The 17,719-nt window shown below is 43.8% G+C and overlaps 2 annotated features.

Annotated features, from left to right (window-relative positions):
* Window positions 5,601–6,177: an enhancer, noted in NCBI's record as "H3K27ac-H3K4me1 hESC enhancer chr11:17058129-17058705 (GRCh37/hg19 assembly coordinates)". NCBI's record gives its function as "activates a minimal SCP1, AML or CMV promoter by ChIP-STARR-seq in naive H9 embryonic stem cells {active_cell/tissue: H9 hESC(naive)}" and the evidence as "EXISTENCE:reporter gene assay evidence [ECO:0000049][PMID:30033119]".
* Window positions 6,178–6,753: an enhancer, noted in NCBI's record as "H3K27ac-H3K4me1 hESC enhancer chr11:17058706-17059281 (GRCh37/hg19 assembly coordinates)". NCBI's record gives its function as "activates a minimal SCP1, AML or CMV promoter by ChIP-STARR-seq in naive H9 embryonic stem cells {active_cell/tissue: H9 hESC(naive)}" and the evidence as "EXISTENCE:reporter gene assay evidence [ECO:0000049][PMID:30033119]".

Below are 17,719 nucleotides of genomic sequence, written 5' to 3' on the forward strand. Positions count from 1 at the left end.
GACAGGCTTTGCTATCAGGATGATGCTGGGCTCATAAAATGAGTTAGGGAGGATTCCCTCTTTTTCTATTGATTGGAATAATTTCAGAAGGAATGGTACCAGCTCCTCCTTGTACCTCTGGTAGAATTCGGCTGTGAATCCATCTGGTCCTGGACTTTTTTTGGTTGGTAAGCTATTAATTATTGCCTCAATTCAGAGCCTGTTATTGGTCTATTCAGAAATTCAACTTCTTCCTGGTTTAGTCTTGGGAGGGTGTATGTGTCAAGGAATTTATCCATTTCTTCTAGATTTTCTAGTTTATTTGCACAGAGGTGTTTATAGTATTCTCTGATGGTAGTTTGTATTTCTGTGGGATCGGTGGTGATATCCCCTTTATCATTTTTTATTGCATCTATTTGATTCTTCTCTCTTTTCTTTTTATTAGTCTTGCTAGCGTTCTATCAATTTTGTTGATCTTTTCAAAAAACCAGCTCCTGGATTCATTGATTTTTTGAAGGGTTTTTTTGTGTCTCTATTTCCTTCAGTTCTGCTCCGATCTTAGTTATTTCTTGCCTTCTGCTAGCTTTTGAACGTGTTTGCTCTTGCTTCTCTAGTTCTTTTAATTGTGATGTTAGGGTGTCAATTTTAGATCTTTCCTTCTTTCTCTTTTGGGCATTTAGTGCTATAAATTTCCCTGTACACGCTGCTTTGAATGTGTCCCAGAGATTCTGGTATGTTGTGTCTTTGTTCTTGTTGGCTTCAAAGAACATCTTTATTTCTGCCTTCATTTCGTTATGTACCCAGCAGTCATTCAGGAGCAGGTTGTTCAGTTTCCAAGTAGTTGAGCGGTTTTGAGTGAGTTTCTTAATGCTGAGTTCTAGTTGGATTGCACTGTGGTCTGAGAGACAGTTTGTTATAATTTCTGTTGTTTTACATTTGCTGAGGAGTGCTTTACTTCCAACTATGTGGTCAATTTTGGAATAGGTGTGGTGTGGTGCTGAAAAGAATGTATATTCTGTGGATTTGGGGTGGAGAGTTCTGCAGATGTCTGTTAGGTCTGCTTGGTGCAGAGCTGAGTTCAATTCCTGGATATCCTTGTTAACTTCCTGTCTCGTTGATCTGACTAATGTTGACAGTGGGGTGTTAAAGTCTCCCATTATTATTGTGTGGGAGTCTCAGTCTCTTTGCAGGTCTCTAAGGACTTGCTTTATGAATCTGGGTGCTCCTGTATTGGATGCATATATACTTAGGATAGTTAGCTCTTCTTGTTGAATTGGTCCCTTTACCATTATGTAATGGCCTTCTTTGTCTCTTCTGATCTTTGTTGGTTTAAAGTCTGTTTTATCAGAGACTAGGATTGCAACCCCTGCTTTTTTTTGTTTTCCATTTTCTTGGTAGATCTTCCTCCATCCCTTTATTTTGAGCCTATGTGTGTCTCTGCACGTGAGATGGGTTTCCTCAATGCAGCACACTGATGGGTCTTGACTCTTTATCCAATTTGCCAGTCTGTGTCTTTTAATTGGAGCATTTAGCCCATTTACATTTAAGGTTAGTATTGTTATGTGTGAATTTGATCGTGTCATTATGATGTTAGCTGGTTATTTTGCTCATTAGTTGATGCAGTTTCTTCCTAGCCTCGATGGTCTTTACAATTTGGCATGTTTTTGCAGTGGCTGGTACCGGTTGTTCCTTTCCATGTTTAGTGCTTCCTTCAGGAGCTCTTTTAGGGCAGGCCTGGTGGTGACAAAATCTCTCAGCATTTGCTTGTCTGTAAAGGATTTTATTTCTCCTTCACTTATGAAGCTTAGTTTGGCTGGATATGAAATTCTGGGTTGAAAATTCTTTTCTTTAAGAATGTTGAATATTGGCCCCCACTCTCTTCTGGCTTGTAGAGTTTCTGCCGAGAAATCAGCTGTTAGTCTGATGGGCTTCCCTTTGTGGGTAACCCAACCTTTCTCTCTGGCTGCCCTTAACATTTTTTCCTTCATTTCAACGTTGGTGAATCTGAAAATTATGTTCTTGGAGTTGCTGTTCTCGAGGAGTATCTTTGTGGCATTCTCTGTATTTCCTGAATTTGAATGTTGGCCTGCCTTGCTAGATTGGGGAAGTTCTCCTGGATAATATCCTGAAGAGTGTTTTCCAACTTGGTTCCATTCTCCCCATCACTTTCAGGTACACCAATCAGACGTAGATTTGGTCTTTTCACATAGTCCCATATTTCTTGGAGGCTTTGTTCATTTCTTTTTATTCTTTTTTCTCTAAACTTCTCTTCTCGCTTCATTTCATTCATTTCATCTTCCATCACTGATACCCTTTCTTCTAGTTGATCAAATCGGCTACTGAGGCTTGTGCATTCGTCATGTAGTTCTCGTGCCTTGGTTTTCAGCTCCATCAGGTCCTTTAAGGACTTCTCTGCATTGGTTATTCTAGTTAGCCATTTGTCTAATTTTTTTTCAAGGTTTTTAACTTCTTTACCATGGGTTCGAACTTCCTTCTTTAGCTTGGATTAGTTTGATCATCTGAAGCCTTCTTCTCTCAACTCGTCAAAGTCATTCTCCATCCAGCTTTGTTCTGTTGCTGGTGAGGAGCTGTGTTCCTTTGGAGGAGGAGAGGCGCTCTGATTTTTAGAGTTTCCAGTTTTTCTGCTCTGTTTTTTCCCCATCTTTTTGGTTTTATCTACCTTTGGTCTTTGATGATGGTGACATACAGATTGGGTTTTGGTGTGGATGTCTTTTCTGTTTGTTAGTTTTCCTTCTAACAGTCAGGACCCTCAGCTGCAGGTCTGTTGAAGTTTGCTGGAGGTCCACTCCAGACCCTGTTTGCCTGGGTATCAGCAGCAGAGGCTGCAGAACAGCGGATATTGGTGAACCGCAAATGTTGCTGCCTGATCGTTCCTCTGGAAGTTTTGTCTCAGAGGAATACCCGGCCGTGTGAGGTGTCAGTCTGCCCCTACTCGGGGGTGCCTCCCAGTTAGGCCACTTGGGGGTCAGGGACCCACTTGAAGAGGCAGTCTGTCCTGTCCATTCTCAGATCTCCAGCTGCGTGCTGGGAGAACCACTACTCTCTTCAAAGCTGTCAGACAGGGACATTTAAGTCTGCAGAGATTTCTGCTGCCTTTTGTTCGGCTATGCCCTGACCCCAGAGGTGGAGTCTACAGAGGCAGGCAGGCCTCTTTGAGCTGCGGTGGGCTCCACCCAGTTCAAGCTTCCCAGCTGCTTTGTTTACCTACTCAAGCCTGGGCAATGGCGGGTGCCCCTCCCCCAGCCTGGCTGCCTCCTTGCAGTTTGTTCTCAGGCTGCTGTGCTAGCAATGAGCGAGGCTCTGTGGGCGTAGGACCCTCCGAGCCAGGCACGGGATATAATCTCCTGGTGTGCCATTTGCTAAGACCGTTGGAAAAGCACAGTATTAGGGTGGGAGTGAACCGATTTTCCAGGTGCCGTCTGTCACCCCTTTCTTTGACTAGGAAAGGGAATTCCCTGACCCCTTGTGCTTCCCAGGTGAGGCGATGCCTTGCCCTACTTCGGCTCACGCTCAGTGCGCTGCACCCACTGTCCTGCACCCTCTGTCCGACAATCCCCAGTGAGATGAACCCAGTACCTCAGTTGGAAATGCAGAAATCACCCGTCTTCTGCGTCGCTCACGCTGGGAGCTGTAGACTGGAGCTGTTCCTATTCGGCCATCTTGGCTCCACCCCCGGGAAAGTGTTTCTTTACAGAAAAATGCCAACTAATGAATGAAGACAGAATGATAGCATTAGAAAATCACAATCTAACAAGTACCCTACAATAAATACTTCTGGCGAGAATCATCACTGGATGTTGAAACATTGGGTAAAAGGTTGTTGGAGGACAGGATGTTCCACACAGCCTCTAGATACCATCCTGTGTAAATTACAAAGAGAAAAATGTACCTTTACAGTGAAGAAATGTAGGCGACACCCCTGAACCAAATAAGAATCAAATATCACCCCCAGTAATAGGACAAACTGATATCACGTGCCTCCTGACGAGATGACGCACTGAGGACACACCACATATATAATATGTCTGCAAAAATGTCTAACCTATATCTGATCATGATGAGAAAATCAGACAAATCTATTCTTGTTTTTCCTTTTTTTTTTTTTGATACGGAGTCTCACTTCATTGCTCAGGCTGGAGTGCAATGGCGTGATCTTGACTTACTGCAACCTCCGCCTCCCGGGTTCAAGTAATTCTCCTGCCTCAGCCTCCCAAGTAGCTGGGACTACAGGTGCTTCCCACCACGCCCAGCCAATTTTTATATTTTTGGTAGAGACAGGGTTTCACCATGTTGGCCAGGCTGGTCTCAAATTCCTGACCTCATGTGATCCACCTGCCTTGGCTTCCCAAAGTGGTGGGATTACAGGCATGAGCCACCATGCCCGGCCCAGACAAGTCTATTCTAAAGGATGTTCTACAAAAAAAAAAAAAATTACGTATATATATATGTGTGTGTGTGTGTGTGTGTGTGTGTGTGTGTGTGTGTGTGTATAATGTATATATAAAAATTATATATGTATATATGTATATATAATATATATAATGTATATATATATATATATGGCTGGCTGGGCGTGGTGGCTCAAGCCTGTAATCCTAGCACTTTGGGAGGCTGAAGTGGGCTAATCATGAGGTCAGAAATTCAAGACCAGCCTGGCCAACATGGTGAAACCCTGTCTCTACTAAAAATACAAAAATTAGCCAGGCATGGTGGCACTCACCTGTAATCCCAGCTACTTGGGAGGCTAAGGTAGGAGAATCGCTTGAACCTGGGAGGCAGAGGTTGCTGTGAGCCAAGATCGCGCCACTGCACTCCAGCCTGGGCAACAGAGCAAGACTCCATCTCAAAAAAAAAAAAAAAAATGGCCTGAGCTGGACAGGCAGAGCAAAATGGCAGAATAGAAGGCTCCACCGATTATCCGATCATCATCTCCCCACCCACGAGGCTGCTAATTAAACAACTGTATGTACAGAAAAAACACCTTCATAAGAACCAAAAATCAGGTGAGCCCTCATAGTACCTGGTTTTATCTCGATATCACAGAAAGAAGCATGGAAGAGATAGAAAAAACAGTCTTGAACCACCAATGCCACCCCTCCCCGACCCCTGGCAGCCACAGCCTGGTACAGAGAGTGTCTCTGGGCACTGAGGGAGGAAAAGCACAGCAAGTATGAGGCATTGAATGCACTGCTGTCTTGTTACAGCAGAAAGGAAAACTGGACCAAACTCAGTTGCTGCCCATCCATGGAGGGAGCATTTAAACCAGCCCTAGCCACAGGGGAATTATTGATCCCAGTGGTCAGAACTTGAGTTCTTGCAAACCTTGCCACTTAAGGCTACTGTGCTCTGGGTCCCTAAGTAAACTTGAAAGGCAGTCTAGGCCATAAGGACTGAAACTCTAGGTGAGTCTTAGGGCTGAACAGAACTGGGCTGAGATTCAGGCGCCACATGACCTACTGAGACACCAGCTGGGGTTGCTAAGGGAGTGCTGCCATCTCCCCTATCCTAACCCCAGGGGCACAGCTCATGGCTCCACAAGAGACCTCTTCCTTCTACTTGAGGAAAGGAAAGGGAAGAGTAGAGAGGACTTTGTCTTGCATCTTGGATACCAGCTCAGCCACAGCTTGCTAGGACACCAGTCAGTGTTGTGAGGCTCCCATTACAGGTCCTAGCTCCCAGACATTTTTAGACATACCCTGAGCCAGAAGGGAACGAGTTGCCTTGAAGGGAAGGACTCAGTGCTGGCAACAGTCATCACCTACTAAATGAAGAGTGCTTGGGCTCTGAATAACCAGCAGAGATACCCAGGTACTACATGGAGGGCCTTGGGTGAGCCTCAGAGACTTGACTTGCTGGCTTCAGGTAAGATTCAGCACATTACCAGCTGGGGGTGCTACAGGGCAAAACTCTTGTGCTTGAGAAAAGCAGAGGGAAAAGTAAAGAGGACTTTGTTTTGCACCTTAGGTAACCAGCTCAGCCACAGTGGGGTAGAGCACCAAGCAGGCTCTTGAGGTCCCTGATTCTGGGACTTGATTCTTGGGTGGCATTTTTGGATCTGCCCTGGGCCAGAGGGGTGCCTACTGCCCTGAAGGGTGAGTCCCAAGCCAGGCAGCATTGCACCACAAGCATTCACCATGGGCCTTAAGGGAACATGAGCCGCAGTCGGGCAGTACTCCCCATGGCCTGCAGTGGTGGTGGCTACAGGGTAAGGCTCCTCTGCCTTTGGAAAGGGGAGGGAAGAGTGGGAAGGACTGTAGTCTTGCAGTTTGAGTGCCAGCTCGGCAGCAGTACAATAGAACACCAGGTAGACTTCTCAGGTTTTTGACTCTAGTCCCTGACTCCCAGACCGCACCTCTGGACCCACCCAGGGCCTGGGGGAACTCAGTGCCCTGAAGGGAAGGACAGAAGCCTTGCTGGCTTTGCCACCTGCTGATTGAAGAGCCCCAGGGCCTAGGCTGTAGCCAGGGAGTGGTTACAGCAGGCCTTGGGCAAGACCCAGTGCTATGTCAGCTTCAGGTCTGACCCAGGACAGTCATATTAGTAGTGGCCAGAGGGGTGCTTGTGTCACTCCACCCCCAGCTTTAGGTGGCTCAGAATACAGAGAGACTCTGTTTGCGAGAAAGTAAGAGAAGAAAACAAAAGTCTCTGCCTGGTAATCCAGAGAATTCTCCCAGATCTTGTCCAAAACCATCAAGGTGGTACCTCTACAAGTCTGTAAGAACCACAGTGTTACCGGGCTAGGGGTGCCCCCCTAAAGCAAATACAGCTTGGATTACAACACTCAAGTCCTTTCATATATATGGAAAGCCTTCCCAAGAAAGATGAGAAACAAGCCCTGACAGTGAAGACGATGATAAATACCTAACTCCTCAATGCCCAGATACCCAAGAACATCTACTAGCGTTAGCACCATCCAGAAAAACATTACCTCACCAAATGATTTAAATAAGTTACCAGGGACCAATCCTTAAGAAACAGAGATGTGACCTTTCAGACAGAATTCAAAATAGTGAGGAAACTCAGAGAAATTCAAGATAACAAAGAGAAGGAATTCAGAATTTTACCAGATACATTTAACAGAGATTGAATTTAAAAGAATGAAGCAGAAATTCTGGAGCTGAAAAAAGCAGTTCACATACTGAAGAATGCATCAGAGTCCTTTAATAGCAGAGTTGATCATGCAGAAGAAAGAATTACTGACCTTGAAGACAGACTATTTGAAAATATAGTCAGAGGAGACAAAAGAAAAAATAATAATAAAAAAAAGAAGCACACCTACAAGATCTAGAAAATAGCCTCAAAAGGGCAAATCTAAGAGTTATTGGCCTTAAAGCGGAAGTAGAGAAAGAGATAGACGTAAAAAGTTTATTCAAGGCCAGGCGCAGTGGCTCATGCCTATAATCCCAGAACTTTGGGAGGCCGAGGCGGGCGAGGTCAGGAGATGGAGACCATTCTGGCTAACACGGTGAAGCCCCCATCTCTACTAAAAATACAAAAAATTAGCTGGGCGTGGTGGCAGGCACCTGTAGTCCCAGCTACTCAGGAGGCTAAGGCAGGAGAATGGTGTGAACCCGGGAGGCGGAGCTTGCAGTGAGCCGAGATCGCACCACTGCACTCCAGCCTGGGGGACAAAGGGAGACTCCATCTCAAAAAACAAACAAACAAAAAAAAACCAGTTTATTCAAAGGGATAATAACAGAACTTCCCAAACCTAGAGAAAGATATCAATATCAGCCTGGCACGGTGCCTCACACCTGTAATCCCAGCACTTTGGGAGGCCGAGGCAGGTGGATCACAAGGTCAGGAGTTCGAGAACAGCCTGACCAACATAGTCAAACCCTGTCTGTACTAAAAATACAAAAATTAGCTGGGCGTGGTGGCATGCACCTGTAATTCCAGTTACTCAGGAGGCTGAGACAGGCGAATAGCGGAGGTTGTAGTGAGCCAAGATTGCACCACTGCACTCCAGCCTGGGCAACAGAGTGACAGAGTGAGAGTCTGTCAAAAAAAAAAAAGAAAAGAAATATATCAATACCAAAGTAAAAGAAGGTTATAGGACACCAAGCATATTTAACCCAAAGAAGACTACCTCAAAGCATTTCATAGTCAAATTCACAAAGATCAAGGATAAAGAAAGGATCCTAAAAGCAGTAAGAGAAAAGAAACAAATAACATACAAGAGAGCTCTTATCCATCTGGCAGGAGACTTTGCAGTGGAAACCTTACGGGCCAGGAGAGAGTGGCATGACATATTTAAAGTGCTAAAGGAAAAAAAAACTTTTACCCTAGAATAGTATATCTGGTGAAATTATCCTTCAAACATAAAGGAGAAATAAAGACTTTCTCAAACAAAAGCTAAAGGATTTCATCAACACCAGACCTATTCTACAAGAAATGTTAAAGGGAGTACTTCAATCAGAAAGAAAATTATGTTAATGATCAACAAGTAATCACCTGAAGCTACAAAACTCACTGGTAATAGTAAGCACACAGAAAAACACAGAATATTACAACTGTAACCGTGATGTATAAACTTCTCTTTTCCTTAATAGACTAAATGATGAAACAATAATAATAAAAAAAAAAAAACTGGCTGGGCCCGGTGGCTCACGCCTGTAACCCCAGCACTTTGAGAGCCCGAGGCCAATGTATCACCTGAGGTCAGGAGTTCGAGACCAGCCTCAACATGGAGAAACCCTGTCTCTACTAAAAATACAAAATTAGCCGGGCATGGTGGTGCATGCCTGTAATCTGTAATCCCAGCTACTCAGGAGACTAAGGGAGGAGAATTGCTTGAACCCGGGAGGCGGAGGTTGCGGTGAACCGAGATCGCGCCATTGCACTCCAGTCTGGCAACAAGAGTGAAACTCCATCTCAAAAAAAAAAAAAAAAAAAAAAAAAACTATAACAACTTTCCAAGACACAGACAGTACAATAAGATATATATTAGAAACAACAAAAAGTTAAAAAGCAGGAAGACAAAGTTAAGGCATACAGTTTTTTATTAGTTTTCTTTTTGCATATTTGTTTGTTTAGGTAAACAGTATTTTGTTGTTATCAGGTTAAAATAATGGGTTACAAGATAGCATTTGCAAGCCTCATGGTGACCTCAAACCAAAAAACATACAATGGATACACAAAAAATACAAAGCAATAAACAAAATCATATCACCAGAGAAAATCACCTTCACTAAAGGAAGACAGGAAGGTAAGAAGGAAGAGAAGACCACCAAACAATCAGAAAACAAATAACAAAATGGCAGGAGTAAGTCCTTACTTATCGATAATAACATTGAGTGTAAATGGACTAAACTCTCCAATCAAAAGACAAAGAATGGCTGAATGGATGAGAAGAGAAAACCCATTGTTCTGTTACCTACAAGACAGGGGGTGGACACCCCCTGCGATATGGAGAGTAATATCACCCCTCTCTAACCCCCTGGATATTATGAACCACATCGCAGGGGGGTGGACACCCCCGCGATATGGAGAGTAATATCACCCCTCTCCCTGCCTGAATATTATGAACCACATTGCAGGAGGGTGGACACACAGTATATTAACAATATTTCCAGTAATATTATCTGTCCCATTGAACATTGTGAACAATATCACAGAGGGGTGTACACCTCCTGCGATATTGAAGGTAATATCATTCTCTCCCCCACTGCATATTGGGAACAATATCACAGGGGTATGTATTCCCCCTTTGAAATTGGGAGTAATATCATATTTGCCTTCCAGATATTAAGAACAATATCACAGGGGTATGTACACTTTTATGATATTGGGAGTAATGTCATTCTCTTTACCCCTGGATATTAGCAGCAATATCACAGGGGGATGTACATTTCCTGTGATATTGAGGGTAGTATTATTGTCTCCCCTCTGGATATTAAAAGCAATACCACAAGGGGCGTCAAACCACCTGCCAGATTTGGGGTAATGTTAACCTCTCCTCTGGATATTAGAAACAATAACACAGGGGTAATGTACACCCACTGCAATATTGGGAGTAATATCACCCTTTTTTCCCCGGATATTAGGAACAATATCACAGGGTGGTGTAGAACCCATGCGATATTGAAAGTAATATTATCCTCTCCCCCTTTGGATATTAGAATCAATATTACAGGTGGGTTATACACGACCAGCAATATTGGAAGTAATATTATCCTCTTCCCTCCTTGATATTAGCAACAATGTCAGAGGGGGTGTGTACAATCCCTGCGATATTTGGAGTAATATCACCCTCTCGCACAACCCCTGTGATATTTGGAGTAATGTCACCCTCTTACCCCGTGGATATGAGAAACAATATCACAGGGGAGATGTACACCCCATATGATATTGGGAGTAATAACATTCTTCCCCACCCTGTATATTAGGAACAATATCACAGGGTGAATGTACACCTGCTCTGATATTGGGACTTATTCTCTTCCCCCCTGGATATTACGAACAATATCACCGGGGGTGGGGGTGTGCACTTTCTGCGATATTGGGAGTAATAGCATCTTTTTGCCCTCTGGATATTAGGAACAATATCACAAACGTGGTGTACAGCCAATGCGATATTGGGAGTAATATCATCCTTCCCCCCCCAATATTAGGAACAAAATCACAGGGGTTTGTACACCTACTGCGATATTGGGAGTAATATCTTCAACTCTCCCCCTGGATATTAGAAACAATATCACAGTGTAGGTGTACGCTTTCTGCGATATTGGGAGTAATATCAGCCTCTTCCCCTTTGGATATCAGAAACAATATCACAGAGGGGGTGTACTCTGCCGGCGATATTGGGAGTAATATCATTGTCTCCTGCAATGGATATTAGAAACAATATCACAGGAAGTGTATACACCGTCTGTGGTATTGAAAGTAATATCATTCCCTCCCCACCCCTGGGATATTAGACTAAATCACAGGAAGGGTGTACACTCCCTGCGATATTGTGAGTAATATCATCATCTTCTTCCTTGGATTTTAGGAACAAGATCGCAGGGTGGGTGTACACTTCCTTGCGACACAGGGAGTAATATCATCCTCTTCCCCCCTACATGTTAGGAACAATATCACAGGGCGGATGTATAGCCCCTGCAACATTTGCTGTAATATCATCCTCTCTCCCGTAGATATTAGGAGAAATATAACCGGGGGTGTGTACACCCCTGCGATATTGGGAGTAGTATCATCCTCTCCCCCTTGGATATTAGGAACAATACCACAGGTGGGGTGTACTGCCTGTGCGATATCGGGAGTAATATCATCCTTTCCTCCGCTGGATATTAGGAAGAGTATCAGAGAGGGAGGGTGTACATTCCCTGCGATATGCAATGTGATATTATTCTCTCCCTCCCTGGGTATTGAGAACAATATTACAGGAGGGGTGTACACCCTCTGCGATATTGGGAGTCATATCATCCTCTTTTGCTCTGGATATTAGGAACAATACCACAGGGTTTTGTACACCCCCTACGATATTGGGAGTAATATCATCCTCTTGCCCTCTGGATATTAGGAAGAGTATCACAGGGGTGTGTACACCCCCTGCAATATTGCAAGTAATATCCTCTCCCCCCCGGATGTTAAAACAAAATCACAGGGGCTTGTACACTTGCTGCGATATTGGGAGTCATATCTTTCTCTCTCCCCCTGGATATTAGGAGCAATATCACAGGGGTGGTTTACATCCTGTGTGATATTGGGAGTAACATCATCCTCTCTCCCCCTGGATATTAGGAACAACATCACGGGGGGAGGGTGTACACCCCCTGAAATATTGTAAGTAGTATCTTCCTCTCCCCCACCCTGGATATTAAGAGTAATATCATCCTCTCGCCCTCTGGATATTAGGAAAAATATTACGGGGGGGGGGGGGGCGGTGTACACCCGCGCAATATTGAAAGTAATATCATCCTCTACCCCATGGTTTTTAGAAACAAAATCACAGGGGGTTGTACACCTGGTACGATATTGGTAGTAATATCTTTCTCTCTGTCCCTGGATATTGCGAATAACATTACAGGGGGGTTGTACACCACCTGCGATATTGGGAGTAATATGATTCTTTGCCCACCTGGATATTAGGAACAATATCATGGCGCGGGGGACGTGGAAAACCCCGGCTATTTTGAAAGTAATGTCAGCTGGTCTCTCTTTGGATATTAAAAATGATATCACAGAAGGAATATACTCTTTCTGTGATATAGGGAGTAGTATCATCCTCTTCTTCCCTGGTTACTATGAACAATATTGCAGGAGGGGTGTACACCTTCTGCAATATTGGGAGTAATATTATCCTCTCCTGCCCTGAATATTTGGAAAAATATCACAGGGGGGTGTACACCCCTGCAATATTGGGAGTAATGTCGTCCTCCCCAAACCTGGATATTAGCAACAAGATCACAGAGGGGGTGTACACACCCTGCGATATTGGAAGTAATATGATCCTCTCTCCCCCTAGATATTAGGAAAAATATCACAGCGCGGGTGTACGTTTCCTACGCTGTTGGGAGTAATATCATTCTTTTCTCTCTGGATAGTAGGAACAATATCACAGCGGTGGTGTACATTTCCTTCGATATTGGGAGTAATAACATCCTCTCCCCGTTTGGATATTAGGAACAATATCCCAGGGGGGTGTCCACCCTCTGCAATACTGGGAGTAATATCATCCTCTATTTCCATGGATATTAGACACAATACCACAAAAAGGTGTACAGCCCCTGCGATATTGGGAGTAATATTATACTCTTCTTCCCTGGATATTAGAAACAATATCATAGGGAGTGAACACCCCCTGTGATAATGGGAGTAATATTTTCTCTTTCACAGGACATTAGGAACAATATCACAGGGGGTGTTTATGCACCCTGCGATATTGGAGGTAATATCCTCTACCCCCCGGAATAATACCAGCAATATCACAGGGGTGGTGTACACCCCCTGTGATATTGAGAGTAATATCATTCTCTCCACCCCCAGATATTAAGAACAATATCATGGCGGGGGGTTGTATATCCCCAGTGATATTGGGAATAATGTCATCCTCTCCTTCCCTGGAAATTAGGAACAATATCACAGGGGGGTGTACACCTTCTTTGATATTGGAAGCAATATCATCCTCTTCCCCGCTGGATATTAGAGAAAATATCACACATGGTGTACACCCACTGTGATATTAGGAAGAATGTTACAGGGTGTACACCCATCTTGACTTTAGGAGAAACATCTCCCTAAAATAATACAAAAATAACACAGGGTATACAGTAATATCTCCCTAGGATATTACAAATAATATCACAGGGTGTACACCCACTGTGAGATTAGGAGTAATATCTCCCTAGGATATTACGAATAGTATCACAGGGTGTACATCCACTGTGATAATAGGAGTAATACCTCCCTAGGATATTACGAATAATATCACAGGCTGTATACCCACTATGATTACAAATCCCATAGTGCTGGGATTAGAGACATGAGCAACCACACCCACCCATGCTGTGTGTTTATCTGTTGTCTGTTGTTGTTTGTTTTTGAGCCCAGAAATAAATTCTCACCTATATGTTCAAATGATTTTTAACATGACTGCCAAGAAAGTTCATTGGTGGAAAAGCAGCCTTTTCAATAAATGGTATTGGAGAAACTTGATTTCCACATGCAGAAGAATGAAGGTGGACCCTATGTCATACCAGGTGCAAAAATTAACACAAACTGGATGAAAGACCTAACCCCAAGAGCTAAAACTATAATATACCTAAAAGAAAACATTGGCCAAACTTTTATGACATCAGAGTGGGCAATTACTTCTGGGATATGACACCAAAAGCATAGGCAACAAAAGAAAATTAGATTCCTTGGATTACATCTAAATGAGAAACACTTTTGTGCATCAAAAAACACTGTGAACTGAGTGAAAAGATAACCCATGGATTAGGAAAAATATTTGCAAATCATATATGTGAAAAGAGACTGATATCCATAATATATAAAGAACAGCTAGAACTAAACAACAAGAAACCCAAGGCATTCCATTAACAATGGTCAGAAGACTTGAGTAGACATGTCCCTAAAGAAGGTACACCAATGGCCAATAAGCATATAAAATGATGTTCAAAATCACTAATCATAGGGAAGTGCAAATCAAACCAATAATGTGATACCACACATTAGGATAGATATGATAAACAAGCAATGGTGAGACTGGAGGGAAGTAGGAATGCTCAAACATGATCAGAGGGAACATAAAACTGTGCAGGAACAGGGAAAATAGTATGGAGTGTACTTGAAAAATTAGAAAGACAATTATCAGATGATCCCGCAGTTGCATTTGTGGGTACCTACCATCTAGAATTAGAAGCCAGGAGTGGAAGAGATATGTGTACACCCATATTCATAGCAGCGTTATTCACAACAGCCAAAATGTGGAAGCAACCCAAGGGACCATGGACAGACGAATGAAAAAGCGCACTGCAGTTCATTCATACAATGGAAGGCTATTCAGCCTTAAAAAGGCAGGCACTTCTGGCCAGCGCAGTGGCTGACGCCTGTAATCCCAGCATCTTGAGAGGCTGAGGTGGGCGGATCACCTGAGGTCAGGAGTTCAAGACCAGCCTGGCCATGATGGTGAAACCCTGTCTCTACTGAAAATGCAAAAAATTAGCAGAGCATGGTGGCACATGCCTGTAGTCCCAGCTACTCAGGAGGCTGAGGCACAAGAATCGCTTGAACCCGGGAGGCGGAGGTTGCAGTGAGCCCGGACTGTGCCGCTGCACTCCAGCCTTGGCAACAGAGAGAGACTCCATCAAAAAAAAAGAAAGAAAGAAAGAAAGAAACAGGCACTTCTGACACAGGCTGCAACACAGATGAACCTTGAAGACATTATCGTCAGTGAAATAAATAAATCACCAAAGGATAAACACAACTGGGCTCAGTGGCTCGCACCTGTAATCCCAGCACTTTGGGAGGCTGAGGTGGGCGGATCACTTGAGGTCAGGAGTTTGAGACCAGCCTGGCCAATATGGCGAAAACTTGTCTCTACTAAAAATACAAAAATTAGCTGGGTGTGGTAGCCCAGGCCTGTAATCCCAGCTACTCAGGAGACTAAGACACGAGAATTGCTTGAACCCAGGATGTGGAAGTTGCAGTGAGCCGAGATCGCGCCACTGCACTCCAGCCTAGGCGACAGAGAAAGACTTTGTCTCAAAAAAAAAAAAAAAAAAAATTAAACACAGTATGATTCCACTTATATCAAGTCTCTAGAGTAGTTAAACTCATAGAATTGCAAAATAGAACGGTGGCCCCCAGGGGTGCGGGAGAGAGAGGAATGGAGAGTTTGGTTAATGGGTCCAATGTCCATTTTGAAAGATAAAAATGTTCTGGAGATGAGGGAGGTGATGGTTGCTAAACAATGTGAATGTACTTAATGTCATGAAACTATAAACTTAAAAATAGTGGAAACTGTAAATGTTTATATTGGCCATTCTAAATGAAATAATATATATTTATAATTTTTAATATTTATACATGGTATATTTTACCATAATAAAAGATGAAAATTAAAGCAGTTGGATCTTTAAAAAGAAAAGAAAGAAGCGAATAGTATATACACACAAGCTTTCTCCTGATTAGAGGAAGAGTCCCAAAGCTTCTAGGGACACTCACTTTTCTCTTCTTGCTGCATTATTATGAGGAAATCCTTAGAGATTGGGGAACTTGGGTGAATTTGGATAATGAGGAGCTCTATGCCTTGAGCCCCCAAGGCCATAGAATAGTAAGTACTCAGTCTGTGCCTCCAGCCCTGCAGTGTGAGGTTCCAGTACAGTGGGCTACACACGTGTCACCTGCATCAGGAGGCTCATGTCTGACCCTGTCTTCTTGCCAGTCTTGAGGACGGAGTCTGAGCCTCCATCGTGCACCACACAGGGAGGACAGTGGACCTGTTCTCCGTGGTCATGACCCAGCAGAGAGGAAGCACAGTTCAGTGAGTGCTGAGGGACAGGTCAGGAGCCTTGTTTTGTTTCCTCATCCTCAGGACAAACAGGAGAGTGCGGTGGGCAGATGGGAGGAGACCAATGTGCAAACTGTCAGCTCAGCAGACTGTGGAGTTTCTATTCTTGGTTGTGGTGGGGGTCTCAGAAATCTTATTCAAAATTTTGCTTTCCTCCCACACTGGTTGTCCTTTTCATGAACATCTCACCCATGATAGCAGCAAATGAGTCCCTCTAAACTATTCCCTAAGCACAACAAAAAGATTATGAAGGTGATGAGGAGGATAAAGAGGACGATGACAGACACCATGGCATCATGAACCCTTACTGGGGGCTTCCTAAATGCCAGGCTCTGAGCTCTGTGGTCTATACAGCTTCTTTGATTTCATCTGCATGGTCTTCTCCCAGTTATTAGTGCACATTAAATTATTATTATACAGACTAGAAAAGAAGCAATGCATTTTCATATAAGTTGTACCAGATCATGAAGTCGAAAAGAGTAAAGTCCCATTTGAACCAGGCAGTCTAAGTCCAGACACGTGGCATTTGGCCAGTCCTCTCCCTGCATCCAACCTGCCCTCTCAAATCCTTGTCACTCGGGCAGATGCCCCTGCTCACTGTGCCCTTCCCTTTGGGGGTTCCTGATAGACCACAGCTAGCCCAGTGGGTGCCACATTCACTGTGTCAAGTATAGAAAGGGCAGCCGAGATCACATCAAAGATTCCAGAAAGAATTGGCACAGGATCATTCGGGACGCATCTCTCCCTTGCCCCTGTTCCTGTCTTTCCTTACAGCTCTCGACTTCCTCAAAGGAGTCATAAATTCAGAGTTTGGCTTCCATTCCTATTGAGGAAGCTGGAATCTGTTTCAAAATGCTCCTCAGATGTGCCTGTGGTTAAGACCTCTGAGCTCTGCTTTAAACTTTTTGAAGCTGGGCGCGGTGGCTCACGCCTGTAATCCCAGCACTTTGGGAGGTTGAGACAGGCGAATCACAAGGTCAGGAGTTCGAGACCAGCCTGGCCAACATGGTAAAACCCTGTCTCTACTAAAAATACAAAAAATTAGCCGGGCATAGCAGCAGGCGCCTGTAATCTCAGCTACTCAGGAGGCTGAGGCAGGAGAATAACTTGAACCTGGGATGCAGAGGTTGCAGTGAGCCGAGATCATTCCACTGCACTCCAGCCTGGGCAACAGAGTGAGACTCCATCTCAAAAAAAAAAAAAAACTTCTTGAGAGTTGGAAGACCATGAAGTTTAGTACCTGGGACTTAGAGACTGGTCATTAACTTTGAATACCACCTTTTCTGCTTATCTGTATGGCAAGGGGTGAGATGTCCATCCTCTGAGACTCAGCACTCTCGTCTGAGTTGATTTCTAGTTGATCCAATGGAAGTGAGCAATGATTAAACCGATCGTGGGTGCCTGCTCCGTGATCTCTATGTGATGGATGCATAAAGTAAAGGCAAAGTGAATTTTAGATACATTCATTAATATTTTAAGCTTCATCTCTATGCAATTCAATGGAAATATCCCCTGACCTGAAGTTCTGGTTTCCCTGCATTCCAGACAGGACATTTTATTTTGTCCTTATCTAAGTAAGTACTGAGTATTGTGAGAGGAACAAGTGAGTCTCTTTTGTTTCTGATTCCCCAGAGCCTATATCTTGCTTGGCACACAGGAGTTAGCCAAAGTAAACATCTATGTTAATTATTGAATAGACCC

Source organism: Homo sapiens, chromosome 11, assembly GCF_000001405.40.
Source record: "Homo sapiens chromosome 11, GRCh38.p14 Primary Assembly".
In the NCBI taxonomy this organism is placed as follows: Eukaryota; Metazoa; Chordata; class Mammalia; order Primates; family Hominidae; genus Homo; species Homo sapiens.